This window comes from Homo sapiens, chromosome 13 (assembly GCF_000001405.40).
Source record: "Homo sapiens chromosome 13, GRCh38.p14 Primary Assembly".
NCBI lineage: Eukaryota > Metazoa > Chordata > Mammalia > Primates > Hominidae > Homo > Homo sapiens.
Window position 1 is genome coordinate 49,106,598 of NC_000013.11, and position 25,619 is coordinate 49,132,216.

The following is a 25,619-nucleotide window of genomic DNA, read 5'->3' on the forward strand; positions in this document are numbered from 1 at the left end:
AGCACACCCAGCCTCTCTTTTTTATTTTATAGCATTTATCACTTTCAAATATACTTCGTGATTTACTTGAATATGATTTACTTATTTACCATGTTATTATTTTCTTCCTCTAGTGCCCAGAACACTATCTGGCACATTGTAGATAATCTATATATGTTTGTTAAGTGAATGAAAGCAAAAAAAAAAAAAAAAAAAACCAACAACAACAGAAACTGAAAAGAGCCCAAAAGCTAATGACAGAATAAACAAATTATAGTTATTTACATAAAAACATAAATGAAAATGAGGAAACTACAGCTATATGAAACTACATAGATAAGTCCTAGAAATCATAATATTGTTTAGGGATATATGTGATTTTTTTGTAGGAAATTATTTTTAAAAGAAAGGTAAGAATAAACTCAAAATTCAGGATAATGGAGACATGAGTGGCACAAAGTGATGGATTAGATGGTGAAGGAGCACATGGATGCAACAGTGTTGGTATGATCTGTTTCTTGGCTTGGATGGTGGATTTGAAACAGTCACTTTAATGACTTGCACTATTTTCTTTTGTATGTATCAAATATTGCATAATCAAAATTTTATTTAAAATGTGAAAGTGAATGTAAGGTCAGAAAATAGAGTCATGTTATAGAGTTAATGTTATATAGAGTTATGTTAGAAAGTAGAGTTATATAGAGTTATGTTAGAAAATAGAGTTACTGTTAATTTTGAGAAGTTTGAGAAAAGAGTGGTAGCTGGATGGTATGATGGGGCAGAAAAAAAGTGTCAGTGAGAGATGGATGATATGCATGGTTTATGTGTGAAACTTTACCATGTTTATGGGCACAGATGCAATGGTTCAAAGAGACTGAACAAAGGAAAAGGTAAAAATACCTGACAGGACGGAAATGACCAGTGAAGCCAAGTCCAAGTGGAGGATCAGATCAAGAGTAAAAGAGGAAAGATACCTTTGATCTAGTGAAGGAACAATGCTTCTTCTGCAAATAGAGGAAAGGAATTAGAAAAGTGTGTATGTAATATTGAGTTCAGTTCCATAACATCAAGAGTTCAGTTTCATGTCAAATAATGTGAAGAGTTCAATTTCGAGATATGGTTGAAGTCAGGTTGGGGAGGGCTCTTAAAGTGTAACGAGAATCTCTGATAATCATCCTAGAAAACAGTGTAAGGGATTGACCAGGGAAAGATTCATGAAAGGATTCCTGAGCAGTGCTGACAGCTGAGTTAAGGCTGAAGATACTAAATTTATAAACATGCCAGTCTGAGTACTGCTTGATTTCTACAGCTCAGGTGTAAGAGAAGACGGATTGAACTTGGAGATTTTCAGGAGATGGGGAAGTCAAAGGAAGACATGGATGAGAAAGGAAATCAGGCTATGAAGGCAGTGTTGGATCAGGAGAAAAGGGAGATCACTATGAAGAACAAATGTAGAAGAAAGAGAACTGGAGAGATGAAAGAAAGATATGATGGCCACATGAAAGTTTGATATTTCAAAGATGAGATAGTGGAGTTCTAAGTAATAAGTTCCAGGATGTATCTTTGAACATGGGTTACTAAAAATAGAATGAAAGACACGAGTTCAAGGAATTTTAAGCCTAGATTTTGGACATTAAAGTCATGCTGATAGACAAGAGTTGGGATAGAGAACAAAATTGATCACAGCGCCAAAGTTCTCAATAAATGAGGACTCAGCCTTAAAGCATTGAGAAGGGGTAGAGGGTTGTATGCACATATGCCGTGATCTCAAGGAAGAAGGAACTTTAGCATGAAACAGGAACAACAGTGGTGAAGGGAAGCAGCCTTGGAGTATCTGCAGACTACCAACACTGCTTCAGGAGAGGATAGGAAGTCTCTGCTCCTGGGGCATGCTGGGGAAAGTTTTCTACAGGACATCCATGCTTCATTTCAAGGCAACACAGGAACAAGTGTTCTGTAAAAAGGTTGAGGATATAGGAGAATTTATTTATAATGGAAAAAAACTTTCTAGTGAGCATAATGGAAAGGATTGAAAGGAGATGATAAGTTAAATAGTCAAGAAATAGAAATACAGGCTGTGTGCAAATGTGAGCCAAAATAAGAAGGTGGGCTGCAGAGGCTTGCTTTTTGTTTAGGGGCTGAAGATCAGAGACATGGTCGGATTTACAGGGGGGCTGGGTCTAACGTATATGAGTACATTCTGTTGAGACCAGGAGACTCCTTGCCCTTTGGTCTCGTTTTTCAGGGCAACCCTGCCTTTTCATAGGAATTTTGAAGTTAACAATTACCTTTCCCCACTTGTAAGAATAGGCCCTTACTGTCTTATCTCCTCTGGGGTGTCTTACATATATTTATTGAGACCTATTTCTCTAGGTTATCCTTTGCCAGTTGTTTTCCACCTTTGTGTGAGATGGGGCCTTTGAACATAGTTTACACTTTTTGAAAAGTATAGCCTTATTATTAGATAATCCTGCCTTTGCCTCGCTTTGTGCCCTTGGCATGTTACTCTGCTTCAGTTTTCTTACCTGGAAATGATGCTCACTTCACTTGTTAGGATTAAGTGAGTTAACGCAAGTAAAACACTCCAAATGATGCCTAGTATGTACTCTGCACTATGTGGTTATTTTTGAAAACATGGTGATCATACTTTTACATATTATAACTATTTACTGAGTATCATCAACCAATATACTTGATACTTTAAATTTATTTAATTTCATTCTCACAACAATGCTATGATGTTGATTAACCTTGTCACTGAAATAAGCTAAGACTTCAGAGAAGAGCAGTAAATTGCCTTGCTAATAAATACTGAAGCTGTTATTAAAATATATCTTTTAATACCAAAATTCACTTTCTTTCCACTGTACAACTTGTTACAAACCACTGTCATTATCATTACCTGTATATTTTTGTTAGCTGTTAATAAATTTCCTCTGAAGTTACATAGCACCATAAAGTAATGAAAGATCTCCAAAAGTTCTTATTCTTTCCTGTTGTAACTGGACATCTTTGGTCTCCTTTCTGGTCTCTACTTGTTCTTGGATAGAGAACTCTGAACCTGCACCTGAGGCTGTCTTTTCAGATTCGTGGATATGAGTAAGAATGCCATCTACTGAGCACCTGCACTTTAATTTAAATCTTAAATTTAAAAAAATCAGAAAGAAAATAAAACCAATAATGAAAGTGGTAGTCTTTATTCTCTTAAGAGGCAAATAACAGCCTGAAACATAAATCCCACCTTTGAGACACATGTCTATCAAACCTATATTCTATACACAATTATTTGTGTATTGTGGATATTCCTTAAGGATTGAGTATGGAGAATTACGTTATACAATGACATTTCAGACTGAATCTTTTAAATTAATATTATCTCAAATGTTCTAAATGAAAATTAGCGGCAGGCTGCATGAGTAAAAAATTAGAAGATAGCACCTGTGGTGTTATTGAACACAAAGAGAATCATTGTACATCAAATATATATTTCTGAAAAGTATACTTTGATGAGCTTTTGAATTGGTTCATAAGGAAGTCTGAAAGATGGTCAAATTCAGGGCAGCAGCAGTAGAAATCATTTAATCTTTTTTTTCCCCTATATCAGAAATGCTGCAAGCGGGAACGTTTGCTTTTTTTTCCCCCTTGCCCTTTCCTGGGTCACTGCAGGTCACGTGATGACTGTCACGTGACTCGGTCAAAGGATCTTTTCCTCTTACAGCCTTGCAAAAAAAAAAAAAGCCGTTCTCCAATTAAAGCTGTTAACGTGTACTACGCTGTTTCCTTGTTGGATTTTCTTGTTCTCTGCTGCTACTGTAAAAACGAAATGAGTGGTAAGATTTGCTGTTTTCGAACATTCTGCTTTTATTTTAAGACAGAAAGCATTGTATTAATCTAAAGTCATGCCGTGTGTTTTTAAAAATAGATGCTAAATATCATCGCCATAAAATATTTTAAATTGTTGCCATGTAAATACAAAAAGGTTAGACTATGTAGAGTTATTTTGTAATTTTGTATTCCACGGAATATTCCATTCTAGGATCTTTATTTTACTAGGTTTTTCTTCTAGAGCTAAAATCTGAAAATTGGCATCAGATTATTTGGAAGCCATTGTGAACGCTGGCTTATAGAGAATGTGTAGCACAGCGGCAGCACGTTGCATTTTAAGAATTAAAACTCCTGGACAAATTTGTAATTTTATTTAAAAAAAACCTCTTAAATATGAATGTATATTAACAAGGAAAGATAAAGAAGAATTTAAGTTATACTAGTTGAAATATCTTCTTTAAGTCAGTGATGGCACTTTTTAAGAAGCAGGGGTGGGGAGCTTCTCAAATTTCTTAAGACAATTGGTTAGAATTGTTTACTCTTCTGCAGGTTTTTGAAATAGGAAATGTATCCTTAATAGCTCCATGATTGGGGTAAATCATGCTCAAATCACATAGATTATAAAGGAGCTGCTAAGTGTATGCACAGTTGTTGTCAGGTATTGCTACTCTTGTGCCAGGCATACATTTGTCAATAGGATCTGAGTTTCTTCCTTGGGACAAAATCTCCCTCATTGCATACAAATTTAAGTCAGTTTGTAGTTAATTTTCTGTTACTTTCTAAATTAAAAAGTATTGTTGGAACTAAGGAGCTAATCAAACATTTACATCATTAAATATGCAAGGCTTTAAGGTTTCGCTACTATAGACACAGGAGTAACAACAGACATGAGATGCTGTAAACGTTGTAGTTCTAAACATCGATACTTGTATTTATTATGTTTATACAATAGGGGTTTGCATTCAGTGTTGAATGTTACTTCACAGCAATATTTTAGGCATTAAATATGATACCGATAAATTGTCTTTTTAAAAGAAAATCTGGCCGGGCATGGTGGCTCACACCTGTAATCCTAGCACTTTGGGAGCCCGAGGCAGGTGGATCACCTGAGGTTAGGAGTTCAAGACCAGCCTGGCCAACATGGTGAAACCCCGTCTCTACTAAAAATACAAAAATTAGCCGGGCGTGGTGGCACATGCATGTAATCCCAGCTACTCGGGAGGCTGAAGCAGAAGAATCACTTGAACCCAGGAGGAAGAGGTTGCATTGAGCTGAGATAGCGCCACTGCACTCCAGCCTGGGCAACAGAGTAAAACTCCGTCTCAAAAAAAAAAAAAAAAAATCTAACCATGTACAATTTCTGCCTCAGGATAAAAAAAAAATTTTTTTGCTAGAGTGAAAGGATTACTTCGTAAAGAAGTAAGTTAATCAGTCTTTTTCCTGGACTACATCTAGTAATATATTTACTACTGGTTTATTTTAGCTTACATTTCTCTTTTCAGCATCACACTTAGATATAATTAAAAAACAAAGTAGAATCTTGTATTACCAAATTATAAACTATTTTAGCGGCTATCAAAGTATAAAATGGTTTGAATTGTAACTACATATATATTCGTATTTCTGGTAAAAGGAGGGCCACTTGAAGCAATTGTGTGATTTTACTATTTTAAATGTAATTAGCAATAACTTATTATTCTGATGGCAAAAGAAAAACCTATTCTGATGACTTGATGTAAGGATTAAATTTGACAGCATATAAAAGGACCCACAGTAAAAGTGCAATGCTAATGGCCTTTATTAACATTATAAAATATGATTTTCAGTGAATTCTCTGTCAAGTTCTCAGCTGAATTTCACATATTGTAAGTAATACCTAAGCCACCTGTAAGGATTCAGGAAGTTAGTTTACTGTAGTTTTATATAAATTAGCTAATGGAAGTAAACCAGCATTAGTTTAAAACAGTTCTCATTTCTCTTGAGTCTAGAATATAGGAGCTAAAAGGTGAGTTTTGCATGAAGCTTTTCTGCCTAGAGGTATAAAGCAGCTCACAAGTTTTATTCAGTAAATTAATAGGTAATGTTTGCTTAAACTTAAGAAAATTTTATTCTTTCTCTCATGTTTTTACGGATGTAAAGACAACAAAGGCCTTAATTTTCCTTAGAGGCTTTAGAGCATTGTTCTTAAGCCTCAAATTATATCAGTTGCCAATACTGCATAGTATTTTAATGTTTACTAAAAATGTGGTAAGGATATGTCCTTAGAAATAAAACTACCTGGTTTTGAATCCCACTTCTACCACTTGGGGAGCTTAACCTCTCTGTGCCTCAGTTTCCACATCTAGAAAATGGAGATGATGATGATGATGATATTTACCTGATAGAATGATTATGAGGAGAAAAAATATGTAAAAGGCCTGGCACATAGTAAGTTAGTATTAGCTATATATAATTAAAATAATATTCTGGACAACTTCATGTATTTGGTGGTGGTCTTGTTTTGGATGGGAAGAGTATCTTATTGAAAAGTTCTTTTCACAGCCAGATATTATATAGTGTAATTTAGTGTTCTACACAAACACTTCTTACTTTCTCTCAACCACTTCAGTCTTATCCCTACTTTCTCTTCCCCTCCCCACCTCTTCTGTCCTTTCCCTCCCCTCCCCCTTTCTCCTATTTCTCCACATCGTTCCTCCTCCCCCTTACCCTTCTGTTTTCTCCTCTCCCTCCCTTCTTGTCTTCTCTTCACTCTCCTTTACTGCCTCTTGTCCCCTTTCTTATCCCTCCCTTTTCTTCTCTTACCTCTCGCCTCTCTCCTTCTCTCCCCTCTTGCCTTTCTCCTCTCCTTGCTTGCTTCCCCCTTTTTTCCTCCACTTTCCCCACTTTCCTTACCCCTGTTTAGTATTTTCCGTCACCCCGTTTAGTAGTTTCCCTCTTACACCCCCTTTCTTTTGTATTCTCTTTTCTCTTCCCTAGCTCTCTCATCTCCCTAGCCCTAATTTCATCACCACTGTGTGGTTCTGTCCTCACCCCTTGCCTTCCCTAGAAAGGGCAGAATGGCTGTAATCCGGATTTGTTGTGACCTCCATGTCCTTTATTCTGATTTTCTGAAGTATGTATAATATTAACAGAGTTACTTGTTTTCTACCCTACATTTGAGCTTTTCCTCCTTTATTTCTTTTATAGCTGAGAGCCATTATATAATGGTAGATTATAATTCTGCATATAAAAGAGATCCTTCCCCCTTTACATTCCTCATCAGACCTTTGTTCTTATTCCCTTAGAAATAAGTAATTTCTTTGAAAAGGTTTCATTTCAGGTTATAAAAAACTGGTGGGCATGAGGGGACACTGCAGTGTAAAGTTACAGGAAGAAAGGAACTGAAGGGGGGTAAGAGACTTTTTTAAAAGTTACATAAAGCAACTAAGATTTTAGTTCCTAGAAAGAACAAAACACACCTTCTCCAAATGCTTCTTTTGTTCCCAGAAATGTTAAAAGAGAAGGTAAACTAGAGATAATAGTTATAAAAGTTAATTGGAAAACCTAACACTATAAAAGTGAAAGGAAGTGTAGAGTGAGAGAAGCTGAATTTTCTTTTTTAGAACTTTTTAGTGTGAGAAACAAAAAAAAATTTTTTTTTCCTTTGGGTAAGTACACGTGTGGCATTTCTCTTTGTTCTTAAGCCCCCATAGACATGAGTCACACATTACACAAGTATTTTAACCCTAACAAAGCAAGTTCCAAATTTCTAACTATTCTTCCTCTTGCTGCTTTTCACTCTTGCTTTTTTATTTTGTCCCTGTAACTTTTGAAAATTTTGCCTTTTGTATTTTTCATTGATTTTATATGCAGAGTTTAGTTTGATTTTTCTCTAGGTCAGTGTTTCTAAACTTACACTATTATAAGAGTCACCTGGGATATTTGTAAAGTGAATATAATGATTCAAGACCCCATTGACTAAGAATCTCTAGGAGAGCCTGTTAATATGTTTTAAAAAGCCCTCCAACCTCCCCGCCCCCCACCACCCCTACCCCAGCAACTTTAAAAAACACAAATGTAGGTAAAGGGTAATTTGTGCACTTTACAAGATAAATTTTTATAACAAGTCAATCATCTGAATTTCTTTTTATAAAAATGTAGTTACTGTTGGCTTGAGTGTTTAGATGAAGTATTCAAAATGTAATTCAAATTGTTTTCAACTTTAGCCTGATAAGCAATCATGGGTTAATACATCATTTATGTGACCCATTCAGGTCCTGCTCAGGTTCCAATGATGTCCCCAAATGGTTCTGTGCCTCCTATCTATGTGCCTCCTGGATATGCCCCACAGGTATGTTTTTATGCTATTTTTCTTTTCATATTTGTATAATAGTGATAATGTTATTCTCTTTGACTTTGATTTTGATTTAAAAAAACCATTTAATTACTGAGGCTTACCAAGTGTTGTGTATCTATCATAAATCTATTTCAAGTATTTTAGTACATTTGGAAAGGAAGAAAAATTTTTATTGGCAGCACTCATCATTTGTCCTTGTCTTTGGGTGTTAAGTCACAAAAGAAAATTCATTCTAGAGTTTTGTCTCCCTAAATATATGACTAAATAAAAATAATATTTTAGGTTGTAAAGGTGCCTACACTGACATTTTTAAATTTAGAAATTTGCTTAGATGTAACCCAAGACAATGCTTCCAACTTTATTCATACAATGAATCTCAGACACTGTTGATAATTGCATGGCATATTGTGTTCAATAGAAAAGAGTTTAGCAACCCTGAGGGATGAGGGGGGGGGGGAAATAAAAAAAAAAAATCAGTATCTCCATACACCTGTAACCTTTTATGCATAATGACTGGGAAGCTCTGACCTTAAGTATAGTAATTTATGAACACAGGCAAACTGAATTAAACTGTAAAATCTGCAGGTGTTCAATATCTTCCACTACTGAGATTTCGTATGGTCTGCACGCTTTGCCTCAATCTATTTTGGGAAATAATCATTTTCTCTCCCTAGCATTGAATTTACACTTGAAGTTTTTCTTCAGGCCCTCTGTTACTTCCTCCCTGATTATGCCAGAATATTGGTGGTGGGATATTGGGGTGGATTTTCTGCACACTCTGTGAAGCACACCATCATATGAACCACAGCAAAAGAAGAGCGTGCTGGGAAGGAGAGAATGGAATGAGATTTAGAATGGATTCAGAAAAGCTGAATCCATATCTTATTTCAAACCTTTGCTGGCTGCATGGTCTTGGGCAAATCAACTTCCTTCAGTCTCAGTGCCTTCATTATGAGATGAGATCACGTACTGAAATTACCTTGTAAGCTTTTCAGAGTAGTCTCTACTAACTATCTCTACTTTTGTTTAGCACACTGACTCCTTAATATAGTCTGCATTCTGTCTATATTACTCTACTAAAACTGCTTTCCGCTATGTACCAAATCCAAAGTCCTGCTTTCCAGCCTGGTCCTCTTTGACCTCTAAAAATTTGGTACCACTGATAAGATTTACTACAGATTTCCTTGACATCATGCTGCCCTGATTTTTGTTTTCTACTTCTTTGTTGCACCTTCTCAGATCTTCCTTCTCTTACATGAAGACTGTTCTCTAGCATAGTTCAGTTCATGATTTATTGAGTGGCACCACGTACTGAGCTCTGTATTGGGAGCTAGTGATAAAAAGATGATTAAGACAAGTTCTTTCAGTGCACTTAGGTTATCTGCTGTTCTCTCATCTTACAGTACCTTTTCGTTTTATTTTTTGTGGCAAACTCCTATCCTTTTCATTTCACTTCATCGTGAGCTCTGAAAGCAGTTTTCCCTGAGCCTTTCCAGGTGCTTCTCCCTTTGGGCTTTCGTGGCATATTATTAATATATATATTCCTCTTTTCATAAACTTATGAAATGTGTAATTCTCTTTCCTGAGACTATGAATTCTTACAGTTCCTATGTTCAACAGTGTTCCACAAATATGTATTGAGTGTTTATATATGTCAGGCACTCTTGAGTGCTTGGAATATGTCCATGACTGAAAGAGGCAAAGACTCATGCCGCTCTGTGGTTTATATTCTTCTGGGAAGAGGCAAATAAAAAGTGGATAAACTCTATAATGTTTGCTGGGCATGGTGGCTCACGCCTGTAATCCCAGCTCTTTGGGAGGCCAAGGCGGGTGGATTACCTGAGGTCAGGAGTTCGAGACCAGCCTGGTGAAACCCTGTCTCTACAAAAAATACAAAAATTAGCTGGTCATGGTAGCAGGTGCCTGCAATCCCAGCTACTAGGGAGGCTAAAGCAGGAGAATCGCTTGAACCTGGGAGGCGGAGGTTGCAGTGAGCCGAGATCGCACCATTGCACTCCAGCCTGGGAGACAGAGTGAGACTCCGTCTCAAAAAAAAAAAAAAATCCTATAATGTGTTAGAGCTGGTTATATTTTACAAGAGTGGTCGGAAGAGGCCTCATTGGGCAGGTAAGATTTGAGCCAAGTCTTGAAGGACAGGTGGGGGTTAGCTATGCATCTATCTGAGAAAAGAGGATTCTGGACAGAAATGGCCAGTGCAAGTGGCTAAGATGACAGCATGCCTGGGAACAGCAAGGAGGTCAGTATGATTGGACTGATTCATCAAGGGAGAATAGAAGGGAATGAGGTAAGAAGTAAGAAGTCTAGATCATATAAGACTCTTACTTATCTTCATATCCTCAATGCCAAGTATATAGCCTGTCATATAGTAGGAGCTCAGTAAATATTTGTAAATTAGATAATCATCCGAGTTGAGGTTCTGTAATCTTTAGACCAAAAGCCACAGAGATAATCTTCCTATAGCATTTCTTTGGTCATAAAGAGCCTGTAGCCGGCTTGTACACTCAATGAAGTCTAGATTTCTTGACATTTAAGGCTTTACACGGTTCTGTCCTGGTTTGCCTTTGCACCATTTTCTTGATACTTTCAATTATGTCCATTTTTGTAGCCGAACATTTCTCACATGCTTACTTGGTGTTTCCTTAATGCTGTTATCTAAGGAATGTTATTCATTTCTCCATTTCTGCCTTTTAAAATTCTACCCATCCTTGAGGGCCTACCTAGATCATGTTATTGAACCACTTCTTGGTTATAATACATATCACCTAATATAATTATGTACTGTTAGCCCTTCATATCCTTAGGTTCCAAATCTATGGATTCAACCAACCACAGATTGAAAATATTTGAAAAAAAAAATTGCATCTATACTGAACACGTACAGACTTTCTTGTCACATTTCTTAATACAATATAACTATTTACACAGCATTTACATTATATTAGGTATGATAAATAATCTAGAGATGATTTAAAGTACACCCGAGGGTGTTGTAGGTTATAAGCAAGTACTACACCGTTTTATATCAGAGGCTTGAGCATTAGAAAATTTTGGTATCCACAGAAAGTCCTGGAACCAATCCCCCATGCATACCAAGGGACAACTGCATATGTATTTTTACTCCTACAGGATTTTAGGTTCCTTAAGATAGGAACTGCCTTTTAATTATTTTTGTGTTCTTGTGGTAACTCAAATGTAGTAAGTGTCCCATAAATAGTTGTCACATAAATTAATGAATTTTAACAATAATCTTCCTGGAAGGATTATGTGAGGTTAGTGGGCTACTATTATTAATCTTAATTTAAGATGAAGATTATCTCTAGAAAATGTGTCGTTTTCATTACACAGGGTAATCCAAAGACAAAAATCTAGTCTTATCGTTTTTTAGTTAATTTAAGTTTCCAGTATGTAAGACTTGATTCTTCCACAGAGGGCAAGCCCACAGAGGGCGAGCTGAAGCAGGGTGGGGCATCGCCTCACCCAGGAAGCAAAAGGGGTCGGGGAGCTCCCTCCCCTAGCCAAGGGAAGCCATGAGGGACTGTGCCATGAGGAACAGTGCATTCCGGCCCAGATACCACACTTTTCCCACAGTCTTCGCAACCCGCAGACCAGGAGATTCCCTTCGGTGCCTATACCACCAGGGCCCTGGGATTCAAGCACAAAACTGGGCAGGCATTTGGGCAGACACTGAGCTAGCTGCAAGAGCTTTTTTTCATATTCCAGTGGCTCCTGGAACGCCAGCAAGACAGAACCGTTCACTCCCCTGGAAAGGGGGCTGAAGTCAGGGAGCCAAGTGGTCTAGCTCAGCGGATCCTACCTCCACAGAGCTCAGCAAGCTAAGATCCACTGGCTTGAAATTCTCGCTGCCAGCACAGCAGTCTGAAGTCCACCTGGGACACTCAAGCTTGATGGGGGAGGGGCGTCTGCCATTACTGAGGCTTGAGTAGGTAGTTTTCCCTGAGCAGTGTAAACAAAGCCACCAGGAAGCTGGAACTGGGCAGAGCCCACCGCAGCTCATCAAAGCCACTGTAGCCAGACTACCTCTCTAGATTCCTCCTCTCTGGGCAGGGCATCTCTGAAAGAAAGGCTCCAGCCCCAGTCAGGGGCTTATAGATAAAACGCCCGTCTTCCTGAGACAGAGCACCTGGGGGAAGGGGCAAGTGTGGGCACAGCTTCAGCAGACGTAAACGTTCCTGCCTACCGGCTCTAAAGCAAGCAGTGGATCTCCCAGCAGAGCTCCCAAGCTCTGCTAAGGGACACATTGCCTCCTCAAGTGGTTCCCTAACCCCCGTGCCTCCTGACTGGGAGACACCTTCCAGCAGGGTCGACAGACACCTCATACAGGAGAGCTCCAGCTGGCATCTGGTGGGTGCCCTTCTGGGACAGAGCTTCCAGAGGAAAGAACAGGCAGCAGTCTTTGCTGTTCTGCAGCCTCTGTTGGCGATACCCAGGCAAACAGGGTCTGAGTGGACCTCCAGCAAACTCCAGCAGACCTGCCGCAGAGGGGCCTGACTACTAGAAGGAAAGTAAAAGAAAGGAATAGCAACAACATCAAGAAACACGATGTCCACACAGAAACCCCATCCGAAGGTCACCAAGACAAAAGGCCAAAGGTAGATAAATCCATGAAGATGAGGAAAAACCAGCACAAAAAGGCTGAAAATTCCAAAAGCCTCCTGCAAAGGATCACAGCTCCTTGCCAGCAAGTGAACAAATCTGGACGGAGAATGAGTTTGACGAATTGACAGAAGTAGGCTTCAGAAGGTGGGTAATAACAAACTCCTCTGAGCTAAAGGAGCATGTTCTAACCCAATGCAAGGAAGCTAAGAACCTTGAAAAAAGGTTACAGGAATTGCTAACTTGAATGACCAGTTTAGAGAAGAACATAAATGACCTGATAGAGCTGAAAAACACAGCACAAGAACTTCGCGAAGCATACACAAGTATCAACAGCCAAATCAATCAAGCAGAAGAAAGGATGTCAGAGATTGAAGATCAACTTAATGAAATAAAGTGTGAAGACAAGATTAGAGAGACAAGAATGAAAATGAACGAACAAAGCCTCCAAGAAATATGGGACTATGTGAAAAGTCCAAACCTATGTTTGATTGGTATACCTGAAAGTGATGGGGAATATGGATCCAAGTTGGAAAACACTCTTCAGGATATTATCCAGGAGAACTTCCCCAACCTAGCAAGACAGGCCAACATTCAAATTCAGGAAATACAGAGAAAACCACTAAGATACTCCTTGAGAAGAGCAAACCCAAGACACGTAATTGTCAGATTCACCAAGGTAGACATGAAGGAAAAAATGTTAAGGGCAGCCAGAGAGAAAGGTCAGGTTACCCACAAAGGGAAGCCCGTCAGACTAATAGCAAATCTCTCTTCAGAAACTCTCCAAGCCAGAAGAGAGTGGGGGCCAATATTCAACATTCTTAAAGGAAAGAATTTTCAACCCAGAATTTCATATCCAACCAAACTAAGCTTCATAAGCGAAGGAGAAATAAAATCCTTTACAGACAAGCAAATGCTGAGAGATTTCATCACCACCAGGCCTGCCTTACAAGAGCTCCTGAAGGAAGCCCTAAATATGGAAAGGAAAAACCAGTACCAGCCACTGCAAAAACATGCCAAATTGTAAAGACCATCGACTCTATGAAGAGACTGCATCAACTAATGGGCAAAATAACCAGCTAGCATCATAATGACAGGATCGAATTCACACATAACAGTATTAATCTTAAATGTAAATGGGCTAAATGCCCCAATTAAAAGACACAGACAGGCAAATTGGATAAAGAGTTGAGACCCATTGGTGTGCTGTATTCAGGAGACCCATCTCACATGCAGAGACATACATAGGCTCAAAATAAAGGGATGGAGGAAGATTTACCAAGCAAATGGAAAGCAAAAAAAAAAAAAGCAGGAGTTGCAATCCTAGTCTCTGATAAAACAGACTTTAAACCAACAAAGATCAAAAAAGACAAGAAGGGTATTACATAATGGTAAAGGGATCAGTGCAACCAGAAGAGCTAACTATCCTAAATATATATGAACCCAATACAGGAGCACCCAGATTTATAAAGCAAGTTCTTAGAGACCTACAAACAGACTTAGACTCCCACACAATAATAATGGGTAATAATAATTAACACCCCACTGTCAATATTAGATCAATGAGACAGAAAATTAACAAGGATGTTCAGGACTTGAACTTAGCTCTGCACCAAGCTGACCTAATAGACATCTACAGAACTCTCCACCCCAAATCCACACAATATACATTCTTCTCAGCACCACATCACGCTTATTCTAAAACTCACCACATAATTGGAAGTAAAACACTTCTCAGCAAATGTAAAAGAACAGAAATTATAACAAACAATCTCTCAGGCCACAGTGCAATCAAATTAGAACTCAGGATTAAGAAACTCACTCAAAACCACACAACTACATGGAAACTGAACAACCTGCTCCTGAATGAGTACTGGGTAAATAATGAAATGAAGGCAGAAATAAAGATGTTCTTTGAAACCAATGAGAACAAAGACACAACATACCGGAATCTTTGGGACACATTTAAAGCAGTATGTAGAGGGAAATTTATAGCACTAAATGCCCACATGAGAAAGCGGGAAAAATCTAAAATCAACACCCTAACATCACAATTAAAAGAACCAGAGAAGCAAGAGCAAACAAATTCAGAAGCTAGTAGAAGACAAGAAATAACTAAGATCAGAGCAGAGCTGAAGGAGATAGAGACAAAAATAAACCCTTCAAAAAAATCAATCAGTTCAGGAGCTGGTTTTTTGAAAAGATGAACAAAATAGATAGACCACTAGCTGGACTGTTAAAGAAGAAAAGAGAGGAGAACCAAATAGACACAATAAAAAATGATAAAGGGGATATCACCACTGATCCCACAGAAATACAAACTACCATCAGGGAATACTATAAACACCTCTATGCAAATAAACTAGAAAATCTAGAAGAAATGGGTAAACTCCTGGACGCATACACCCCCCCAAAGACTAAACAAGGAAGAAGTGGAATCCCTGAATAGACCAATAACAAGTTCTAAAATTGAGGCAGTAATTGATAGCCTAACAACCAAAAAAAGCCCAGGACCAGATGGATTCACAGCCTAATTCTACCAGAGGTACAAAGAGGAGCTGTTACTATTCCTTCTGAAAGTATTACAAACAACAGAAAAAGACGGACTCCTCCCTAACTCATTTTATGAGGCCAGCATCATCCTGATACCAAAACCTTGCAGAAGTACAACAAAAAAAGAAAATTTCAGGCCAGTATCCCTGATGAAGATCAATGTGAAAATCCTCAATAAAATAACTGGCAAACTGAATTCAGCAGCACATCCAAAAGCTTATCCACCATAATCAAGTCTGCTTCATCCCTGGGATGCAAGGCTGGTTCAACATACGTAAATCAATAAACGTAATCTATCACATAAACAGCACCAATGACAAAAATGACATGATTATCTCAATAGACACAGAAAAGGCCTTCAATAAAATTGAAGGCCTTCATGCTAAAAACTTTCAATAAACTAGGTATTGATGGAACATATCTCAAAATAATAAGAGCTGTTTATAACAAACCCACAGCCAATATCATACTGAATGGGCAAAAGCTGGAAGCATTACCTTTGAAAACCAGCAGAAGACAAGGATGCCCTCTCTCACCATTCCTACTCAACATAGTATTGGGAGTTCTGGCCAGGCAGTCAGGTAAGAGAAAGAAATAAAGAGTTTTCAAATAGGAAGAGAGGAAGTCAAATTGTCTCTCTTTGCAGATGACATGATTGTATATTTAGAAAACCCCATCGTCTCAGCCCAAAATCTCCTTAAGCAGATAAACAACTTCAGCAAAGTCTCAGGATACAAAATCAATGTGCAAAAATCACAAGCATTCCTATACACCAATAATAGGCAAACAGAGAGCCAAATCATGAGTGAACTCCCGTTCAAAATTGCTACAAAGAGAACAAAATACCTAGGAATCCAACTTACAAGGGATGTGAAAGACCTCTTCAAGGAGAACTACAAACCGCTGCTCAAGGAAATAAGAGAGGACACAAACAAATGGAAAAACATTCCATGCTCGTGGATAGGAAGAATCAGTATTGTGAAAATGGCCATACTGCCCAAAGTAATTTATAGATTCAATGCTATCCCCATCAAGCTACCATTGATTTTCTTCACAGAATTAGAAAAACTACTTTAAATTTCATATGGAACCAAAAAAGAGCCCATATAGCCAAAACAATCCTAAAGAAAAAGAACAGGGCTGGAGACATCATGCTGCCTGACTTCAAACTATACTACAAATCTACAGTAACCAAAACAGCAAGGTACTGGTACCAAAACAGATATATAGACCAGTGGAACAGAACAGAGGCCTCAGAAATAATACCACACATCTACAACCATCTCATCTTTGACAAACCGGGCAAAAACAACCAATGGGGAAAGGATTCCCTATTTAATAAATTGTGTTGGGAATACTGGCTAGCCACATGCAGAAAACTGAAACTGGACCCTTTCCTTACACTTTATACAAAAATTAACTCAAGATGGATTAAAGACTTAAATATAAAACCTAAAACCGTAAAAACCCTAGAGGAAAACCTAGGCAATACCATTCAGGACATAGGCATGGGCAAAGACTTCATGACCAAACACCAAAAGCTATGGCAACAAAAGCCAAAATTGACAAACGAGATCTAATTAAACTAAAGAGCTTCTTCTGTACAGCAAAAGAAACTATAATCAAAGTAAACAGGCAGCCTGTAGAAAGGGAGAAAATTTTTTCAATCTATCCATCTGACAAAGGGCTAATATCCAGAATATACAAAGAACTTAAACAAATTTACAAAAAAAAAAACCAACCCCATCAAAAAGTGGGCGAAGGATCTGAACAGACACTTCTCAAAAGAAGACATTTATGTGGCCAACAAACATATGAAAAAAAGCTTATCATTGGTCATTAGAGAAATGCAAATCAAAACCACAATGAGCTACCATCTCACGCCAGTTAGAATGGCGGTCATTAAAAAGTCAGGGAACCACAGATGCTGGAGAGATGTGGAGAAATAGGAACGCTTTTACACTGTTGGTGGTAGTGTAAATTAGTTCAACCATTGTGGAAGACAGTGTGGCAATTCCTCAAGGATCTAGAACCACAAATACCATTTGACCCAGCAATCCCATTACTGGGTATATAGCCAAAGGATTATAAATCATTGTACTAGGACCATGCACATGTATGTTTATTGCAGCACTATTCACAGTAGCAAAGACTTGGAACCAACCCAAATGCCCATCAGTGATAGACTGGATAAAGAAAATGTGGTGCATATACACCATGGAATAGTGTGCAGCCATAAAAAAGGATGAATTCATGTCCTTTGCAGGGACATGGATGAAGCTGGAAACCATCATTCTCAGCAGATTAACACAGGAACAGAAAACCAAACACCACATGTTCTCACTTATAAATGGGAGTTGAACAATGAGAACACATAGACACAGGGAGGGGAACATCACACACTGGGGCCTGTGAAGGGATGGGGAGCTAGGGGAGGGATAGCATTAGGAGAAATACCTAATATAGATGATGGGTTGATGGGTGCAGCAAACCACCATGGCACGTGTATACCTATGTAACAAACCTACATGTTTGGCACATGTATCCCAGAACTTTAATTAAAAAAAAAAAAGTAGAGAAAAAAAGCTTCAGAAGAAGCAAACTATTTGAAAAGATGATACATAGTCCACATACCAAGATTATGTACTTTACACATAAATAACCTCCATAGCCATTTCTGGGGCCTGCTTGGTCCTTATTTTAGGCAGAACCTTAATGAGCTTTATTGTTGCAGTTTAATAAATAAGGATACTTTTAAGAAATTGGTGTACTGCACAGAGGCAGAAATATGTGCCAGTGGAATTAAGTTATCAAATGAGGAAATGAACAAAACATAGAACTATAAAACTTAAATACAAAGCAAGTGATGCCAGGAGTAGAAGGAACTTAATTCACTGGCAAATAGTACTAACTTAGAGTCCCTAAGAGCATTGTATTGCAGGACAGGATAACACTTCCGCTATTTCAGTGATAAAGTTAATAACTTATCAAGAGAAGTTTATGAACTACCTGAATGGGACTCCTGAAAGGCAATATCAGAAGTTCTGCCTTTCTGGTAATGGCTCCCTTAACTGTTTTTTTATAGAATGTGGGCTGTTATGGTAATGAGAGGGTGCCTAACAAGGAAGGAATTGTAGATCGCATAGCGTGGGGAAAGAAACTATATCGACTTTGGGAAAAGTTTCAGGTTACTCCTTTGAGCTGTGCTTGCTGTTTCATTTTGCTTTTATGATGGCACGCAGGAGTGAGGTCAGTGTGTTTTTCAGATATTCTGCAAATCAATCTGATCTCAGACTTCTTGCTGCTCTCCTGGGGACAACAGCCAAAAGGGATGGGCAGGGGAGTGTGAGAAACTATAAGATGGGGAGACCTAAGAGATTTATATGAGAATGAAGAGATATAGTAAGAACTGGAGAGAAAGGAGATTGTGATCACATACTGTTGTATATGTTTGTAGACACATAAATGTTTGTTAAATGAATGGCCTATGTTATTGTTTAAGAGCTTAAAGTTGTTTTGAGCTTAAAGTGAAGCTGTATTATTAAGAGCTTAAAGTTGGAATAGTTCTGGGTTCAGAGTGAGACCACAGAAGTAGGTTGCAAAAAGTAGAGAGGAAGCAAAGGTTGTAGGAATTGAGAAAGTCACAGAACCCTAATAGCTTCATGGTGTAAAGAGAGGGAGAAAGAAATGTAGCATTCTGTTAGTGCTAAAAGAACACATATATTTCTGATCATATCATTCATTTAACAAATAACTATTAGAGCATCAACCCATGTGCTAGGTACTATTCCAGGTCCTGGGGGAAAAAAACAATAAATAAAACATTTATTGTGGGCTTTATATTCTGGTAAGGAAGATACACAATATAAAATGTCAGATACAGTTTCCTTTCTCTGCAGCCCTTCTCAATTGTGTCTCTGTTCAATAAAGGAAGAAAAAAAAACATGTCTTTGCCTACTTAGAAATTAGGTGGCATCTGTGGTTAAGTGGTCAGACTATGCTAATGCCTCATTTAATTATATTTTATTGCCTTATCTGTATTTTAATTTTTATGAACACTGACAAATTTGAATTATATTTTATCTTTTTTTTCCTTTTCACAACGTACTTATTTTATTTTACATCACAACCAGTGTACCCTGTTGGTGTGAAATCTGACCTCTACATGATGGCCATTTCTTAGCACCTAAGCCTCTGGAGACTTAGCAAATAGTTTTGAAGTCTGTTGCCTTCCTCTGAAGTTACTGGCTGCTTGAGGTAGTGGAGTTCACCGTGCTCTTGGTTCTTGTCTGGCTTTTTTTTTTCCCCTCTTCTGTCTACATCTTAGGTTTGGGGGTTTTTTTTGTTTGTTTTTTTAATTGTGGTAAAACACACATAACATAAAATTACCATCTTAACCTTTTTTAAGTATACAGTTTAATGGCATTAGGTACATTTACAGCATTGCACTACCAGCTCCACCCTCCATCCACAGAACTCTTCATCTTGCTGAAAACTGAAGCTCTGAACCTGTTAAATAATAGCTCTCCATTTTCCTCTCCCCTAAGCTTATCTTTGTATTTTAAATGTTCTTACTCATCAGAAAAGTGGTTTTAATTTCATAAATAATTTAGCCATTTATTTTTAATCAAATAAATATCTTGTCGTAAACAACAACAAAAAAGACACTAGAAGACCTATGGCTTCTATGCCCACAAAGTAGATAAGAACATGGAATCTGAAGCCAAGTTGCCCAAGTGCAAATACTAGCTCCCTCACTTTCTACCTATATGACCCTGGGCAAGTTATTTAACATCTCTATGTCTCAGTTTCTCCATCTGAAAAATTGAAATAATAATAGTATGTAGCATTGTTCCAAGGATCAAATAGTTCATATATGTTCCTTGAGAAACTTAACATTTAAATTATAGAGTAAGACATATGCATCTGGAAAATTAACATTTCAGTGTTACAAATATCCAGCAAGTGATACAGAATAAATGCAGTAGAAATTATAGGAGAGAGAGATCACTGAGATTGTGGTACCTAGGGAAGAGTTCATGGAGGAACAGTCAAACGGTATCTTCCACAGACTCCTAGCCCCACACTTCCACCAGTGTTTGCACATCTGCAGTTATGTGCTCTGCTTCTCATCCAGCCCACAAACTCTGTTTCCTCATCTGTAACACAAACTTTCCTGCTCCTGTCCAGACCCGGTTCCCCCACTGGGATACTGGAACCCATCCCATTTTGCCTGTGTAAGGACACATTACTCTAGCATTTTTCTTTTCTCTCTTCTGTGTTATCAATTTCTTGTTCTCTGCTAGATTATTTTCATTAGTATCTTGAGCCTTTTGTAATTTCACTCCTGAAAACAACAAAACATCAAAGTTTCTTGACTTCACTACTTGTATGAGCCACCACCCTATTTCTGTATTCCCCTTTGCAGCAGAACATTTTAAAATTGTGCAGTTAGCTCTAATTCTTCTCCTTACTTTCTCACTTAAACCCACTGCAGTTGGGCTTTGACCCTATGACTATACCAAAACTGCCCTCTTCAAGGTCACAGTAATGTCTACATTGCTAAATCCAGTGGTCAGATTCTTAGTCTTCCTCTTGTTTGACCTATCAGCAGCATTTGACACAGTTAATCCTTCCTCCTTGACATGCTTCACCAAACTTCAGACTCTATACACTGTCTTAGTTTTCCTTCTGCCTCGCTTGGTCATCCCTTCCCAATCTTTCCAGAATTGCAGACTAGTATATCTTAACAGTCTATTCAACATTTCCACTAAGTTGTCTTATAAACTCTTCAAACTCACAAGTGCAAAACTTGAAACTCCAAATCTCTTCCCCTGAAAAAAACTTGTTCTACTCCACAGCCTTCCTCATCACATTGATGGAAGACTATTGTTCCCTAACTTCTTTTTCTCACTTCCCACATGGAATCATCAGCTAATCTTGTCTTGTTTCTCTACTTTTTTTTTTTCTTTTTGAGATGGAGTCTTGCTCTGTTGCCCAGGCTGGAGTGCAGCAGCACAGTCTCGGCTCACTGCAACCTCTGCCTCCCGGGTTCAAACGATTCTCTTGCCTCAGCCTCCTGAGCAGCTGGGACTACAGGTGCGTGCCACCATGCCCAGCTAATTTTTGTATTTTTAGTAGAGATGTAATTTCACCATATTGGCCAGGCTGGTCTCGAACGCCTGACCTCATGATCCACCCACCTCGGCCTCCCAAAGTGCTGGGATTACAGGCGTGAGCCACTGCACCTGGCTTCTACTTTTAAATATATGCAGAATGTGGGTCACTTCTCACCATCTCCACTGCTGCTTCCCTGGTCTTAGCTGTGATCATCTCTTGCCTAGATTACTACAGTAGCTTTCTGAATGGTTTCCCTGCTTTTGTCTTTGCCTCCCTACGATCTCTTCTCAACTCAGCAGCCAGAATAGTCCTGTCAAATATAAGGTTACATCAGGAATTCTCAACCATAGTAATGTAAACATTTGAGGTGGGGTGATGTTTTTGTTGCCCTCTGTGTTGTAGGTTATTTAGCAGTATTCCGGGCCTCTCTACTTTCTAGGTGTTAATAGTGCACCTCCCCCACTGCCCCGAGTTGTGACAACTATAAATGTCTCCAGACCCTACCACATATCCTCTAGGAGTCAGAAACACTAGATTTTATCACTCTTCTGCCCAAAACTTTGTGATGATTTCCCATTCCACTGACAGTAAATGATGAACTCCAACTCCTTAATAGTAGCCTGTGTCGTGGTGCCTGACCTGACCACCCTATCACCGCTTCATTTCTTTGACTTCATCTGCTTCTGCCTTTGCTCCTTTATACTCATGCAGTCACACCAGCTTCCTTTCATCCCTTGGGTATAATCAGCCCCACTTCTACCTTAGGGGCTTTATTCTAACTGTTCCCTCTTCCTAGAACAAATCTTCCAGATTTCTACATAGTTAATTCCTCCACTTCCTTCAAGTTTCTGCTTAAGCTTTTCTTTGCCAGTAAGGCCTACTCTGATCCCTGTGTTTATTCTGTAACCTGCTCCTTTCTCACAACACTTCTAATAGCCCTTACCTGCTATGCCTTTTCCATAGTATTTATCACCTTGCAACATGCTAAGTAACTTACTTGTTGTGTTTGTCTGCCCCTGTTAGTGTGGGTTCCCCACAAATATTTAATATATCATTCTGAGGTTTTTCCCTCTTTGAATTATCAGTTTGTTTTGCTGAAAAATAGTGTTTTAAATGAGTGGAGAAGGTAAAGTTAGAGCTAGAATTGGAAGGATAGACAAGATTATTATAGATTAAAGGGAAGCAAAGTGAAGAAGAATAATTGCATAAATAAAAGTACAGGGTATAGAAATGTATAGTCACTGTGAAAACAGGTTTTTTATTATACCAGCCTGACTGCAGTTAATGGTTCAGGATTTGTTGCAAAAGAACGATACAACTTAGAAGGTAGTTTGGAACCAGGTTGAATGAATATGAAGTACAAGCCTCTTGGAAATGGCTCCGTTTTTTAAGATTTGTGAATTGGAGAGTGATAAAGGTGAAATGAGTATTGTGACAGATACTGTGATTTGGCTCACTTAAAATCCATTTCAAACTTCTTCCAGTGTTCGTTCCTGTAGGGTAGAAGCTAAAAAGCTATCAGCAGTTCCCAGATTCCCTTCAGGTAGGGTTCTAGATATTGTTTAGTTCCCATCAATCATATATGTTTGCTTGAGACTTAAATTCAGAACTGAGTTAAATAGGGAGAAAGGGGTCTGAGGCATCCATTTTGCTGAAAACAAGGCATTATGGTTCTAGACCCAGCATATTAAAAACAGTTAATTCATTTGGTCATCTAGTCCCCTGTTAGAAGAGTCATGTCACACTCCAGTAGGTAAGGATAGTTTAATAATCTAATTAATGTTTGTAATTTAGGCTTATCTATACCCAGATAAGTGTGTTTTCTAGTATACCTATACCTACCAAGCACATATATTTATAAAATAATTTGCTATCCTTAAGCATAATAAACCTTTGCCTTCCTGAAAATCAGGATTTGCCTTTAAATTAGCACTTAACATTATGATCATTTTCTGTTTCCTGAGGAAGGTATTAGCCATTTGTTATACCTTAATAATTACCATATAAGTCTAAAAGAATAAGGGCCTTATTTTAGTGAGGGATTTCTAATTTTAAGATAAAGTCCTTTAATTTTTTAGGGTTTCCTGTGTGTCTTTGCAGCTCTAGTAAGGTTCAAAGAGGAGTAAGTCTTGTCATTTAAAAAAATTTATCCCCACGGTGTAATTCCTGTTTTTTGTTTTTTGGTTTTTTTTTTTTAGTTTGTAATTTCTAAGCCTCAAAGCCACAGATATTTTTCCTAGCTAGGAGTTAATATAGTAATATTCAGTATTTGTGTCCCTTGAAATGATCAGCTGTTAAAATTGTCCTGGTCATGGTCATAAGAATTTTACATCCAAATTCTAACATGTCATTGATTATCTGATTGAGTCTGGATCCAGTTGTTTTGTTTTCTATTTGGTCTTTCCACAACTTGTTTTCCCCTACTCCTAGTCATAATATAGAAAAGGAAATTGATTCCTGAACCTCTTGTGTCTAAACCAAAATTACTCCATCAGGAAATGCACATAACACATAGGATAAATATCTAGTATCATAACTTATTAGGTTACTCTTTAGCTTGTCTAATCAGTGTTTTAAGATTTATATTGAATTGTATAACAAAAACTAATTCATTTTGTTTAGTGCTAATTTACATGTACCAATATATTTAATAAGTTGTTTTCATGTTGATTCTCCAAATTTTTAAAATTTCTAATGGTGTAAAAATTCTTACTCTTACATTTTTATTTTATTTTATTTTTGAGACAGAGTCTTGCTCTGTTGCCCAGGCTAGAGTGCAATGGTGCTATCTCGGCTCACTGCAACCTCCACCTCCCAGGTTCAAGCAATTCTGCCTCAGCCTCCCAAGTAGCTGGGATTACAGGCATGGGCCACCATGCCCAGCTAATTTTTGTATTTTTAGTAGAGACAGGGTTTCGCCATGTTGTCCAGGCTGTTCTCGAACTCCTGACCCTAGGTAATCCACCTGCCTCAGCCTCCCAAAGTGCTGGGACTAGAGGCATGAGCTACCGTGCCTACCCTACTCTTAACATTTTTAAAAGAATTGTTTATATTCTATGGAAGAAATTTTAATCTGATGTTCATTTTGTAGGTTATTGAAGACAATGGTGTTCGAAGAGTTGTCGTGGTCCCTCAGGCACCAGAGTTTCACCCTGGTAGTCACACAGTTCTCCACCGTTCTCCACATCCTCCTCTACCTGGTTTCATTCCTGTCCCAACTATGATGCCGCCTCCACCACGTCATATGTACTCACCCGTGACTGGAGCTGGAGACATGACAACACAGTATATGCCACAGTATCAGTCTTCACAAGTCTATGGAGATGTAGGTAAGACATCTAAAAGTATTCCACTGTTATTGAGTTGGATATTCTTCGCTTGGATATAATAGATGCCATTATCATATCACATTAAAAAAACAGCAAATGGTAATGATGTAACAGGCATTTTTCTTTTACTCAAGTACTATATTAGGTGCTTCATCCTCATGATCACCCTTCAAGGCAGGTAAGTAAACAGAAAAATCAAAGAAGGGAAGTAACTTATATCATGCAGCACTACTTAGTGGTGCCACATTCAAACAAGAGGTCTTTTCCTCTGGCCTGCAATCTAGGCACTGAGAAAATTTTCAGCCAGGAATAACCATGTCATTGTTAAATCCTATTGGCTGTGATGCCACTACACAAAGCTGCTAAGCTCTGTGAGGGATTGAAAAAACAGGATAAGCCATAACCTCTGCCCTCAGGGAGTTAATAAATTTGGGGAAAGTTAATAAATAAAGTTAATAAATATATAGGCTACCAAACATAAACACAAAATAATACCTTATTATGTCCCATAGCTTTAAACACTGCCTTAAACAGTGCCAGACTTATTCCTGACTGCCTTCTCGATAACTTCACATGGATGTCTCTTGCATTTCAGAATATTTCTAAACAGAAATGTCAAATGTGGACCCCCACGACTTGCTTTTTTTCCGTCCCTTCATCTCAGTAGGTGGTCCACTAGTCACTTAGTTTGCTCAAATGAAAGCCAGATGGTCAAATTTGATTTCTCCTTTTCCAACCCTTACATCAATTAGTATCAGTTTTATTTTCAGAATTTTCTGAAATTTTTTTTACTACTTCCCCACTGCCACTCAAATCCATCCACCATCAGCTCTTGCCAGGAC

At 38.2% G+C, this 25,619-nt stretch overlaps 1 protein-coding gene across 7 annotated transcripts in view, besides 2 other annotated features; it reads left to right on the top strand.

Moving 5' to 3' along the window:
* The window catches only part of FNDC3A (fibronectin type III domain containing 3A), a 234,489-nt gene that overhangs the window by 131,307 nt on the left and 77,563 nt on the right, over positions 1-25,619 (top strand). For 6 of the 7 annotated variants that reach the window (NR_103528.2, XM_017020440.3, NM_001079673.2 and 3 more), the window contains 2 exons: positions 8,058-8,134; positions 24,540-24,777. Coding sequence is in view for 6 of the 7 variants with exons in the window: in XM_017020440.3 (XP_016875929.1) it covers positions 8,058-8,134; positions 24,540-24,777 (315 nt within the window). In the remaining variant the exon portion in view is untranslated. Of the gene's footprint in view, positions 1-3,719; positions 3,810-8,057; positions 8,135-24,539; positions 24,778-25,619 lie in introns of those variants that run through there. The other variant, NM_014923.5, reaches the window with a different exon arrangement.
* Positions 6,221-6,725: an enhancer, noted in NCBI's record as "H3K27ac hESC enhancer chr13:49686954-49687458 (GRCh37/hg19 assembly coordinates)". NCBI's record gives its function as "activates a minimal SCP1, AML or CMV promoter by ChIP-STARR-seq in primed H9 embryonic stem cells {active_cell/tissue: H9 hESC(primed)}" and the evidence as "EXISTENCE:reporter gene assay evidence [ECO:0000049][PMID:30033119]".
* Positions 6,726-7,229: an enhancer, noted in NCBI's record as "H3K27ac hESC enhancer chr13:49687459-49687962 (GRCh37/hg19 assembly coordinates)". NCBI's record gives its function as "activates a minimal SCP1, AML or CMV promoter by ChIP-STARR-seq in primed H9 embryonic stem cells {active_cell/tissue: H9 hESC(primed)}" and the evidence as "EXISTENCE:reporter gene assay evidence [ECO:0000049][PMID:30033119]".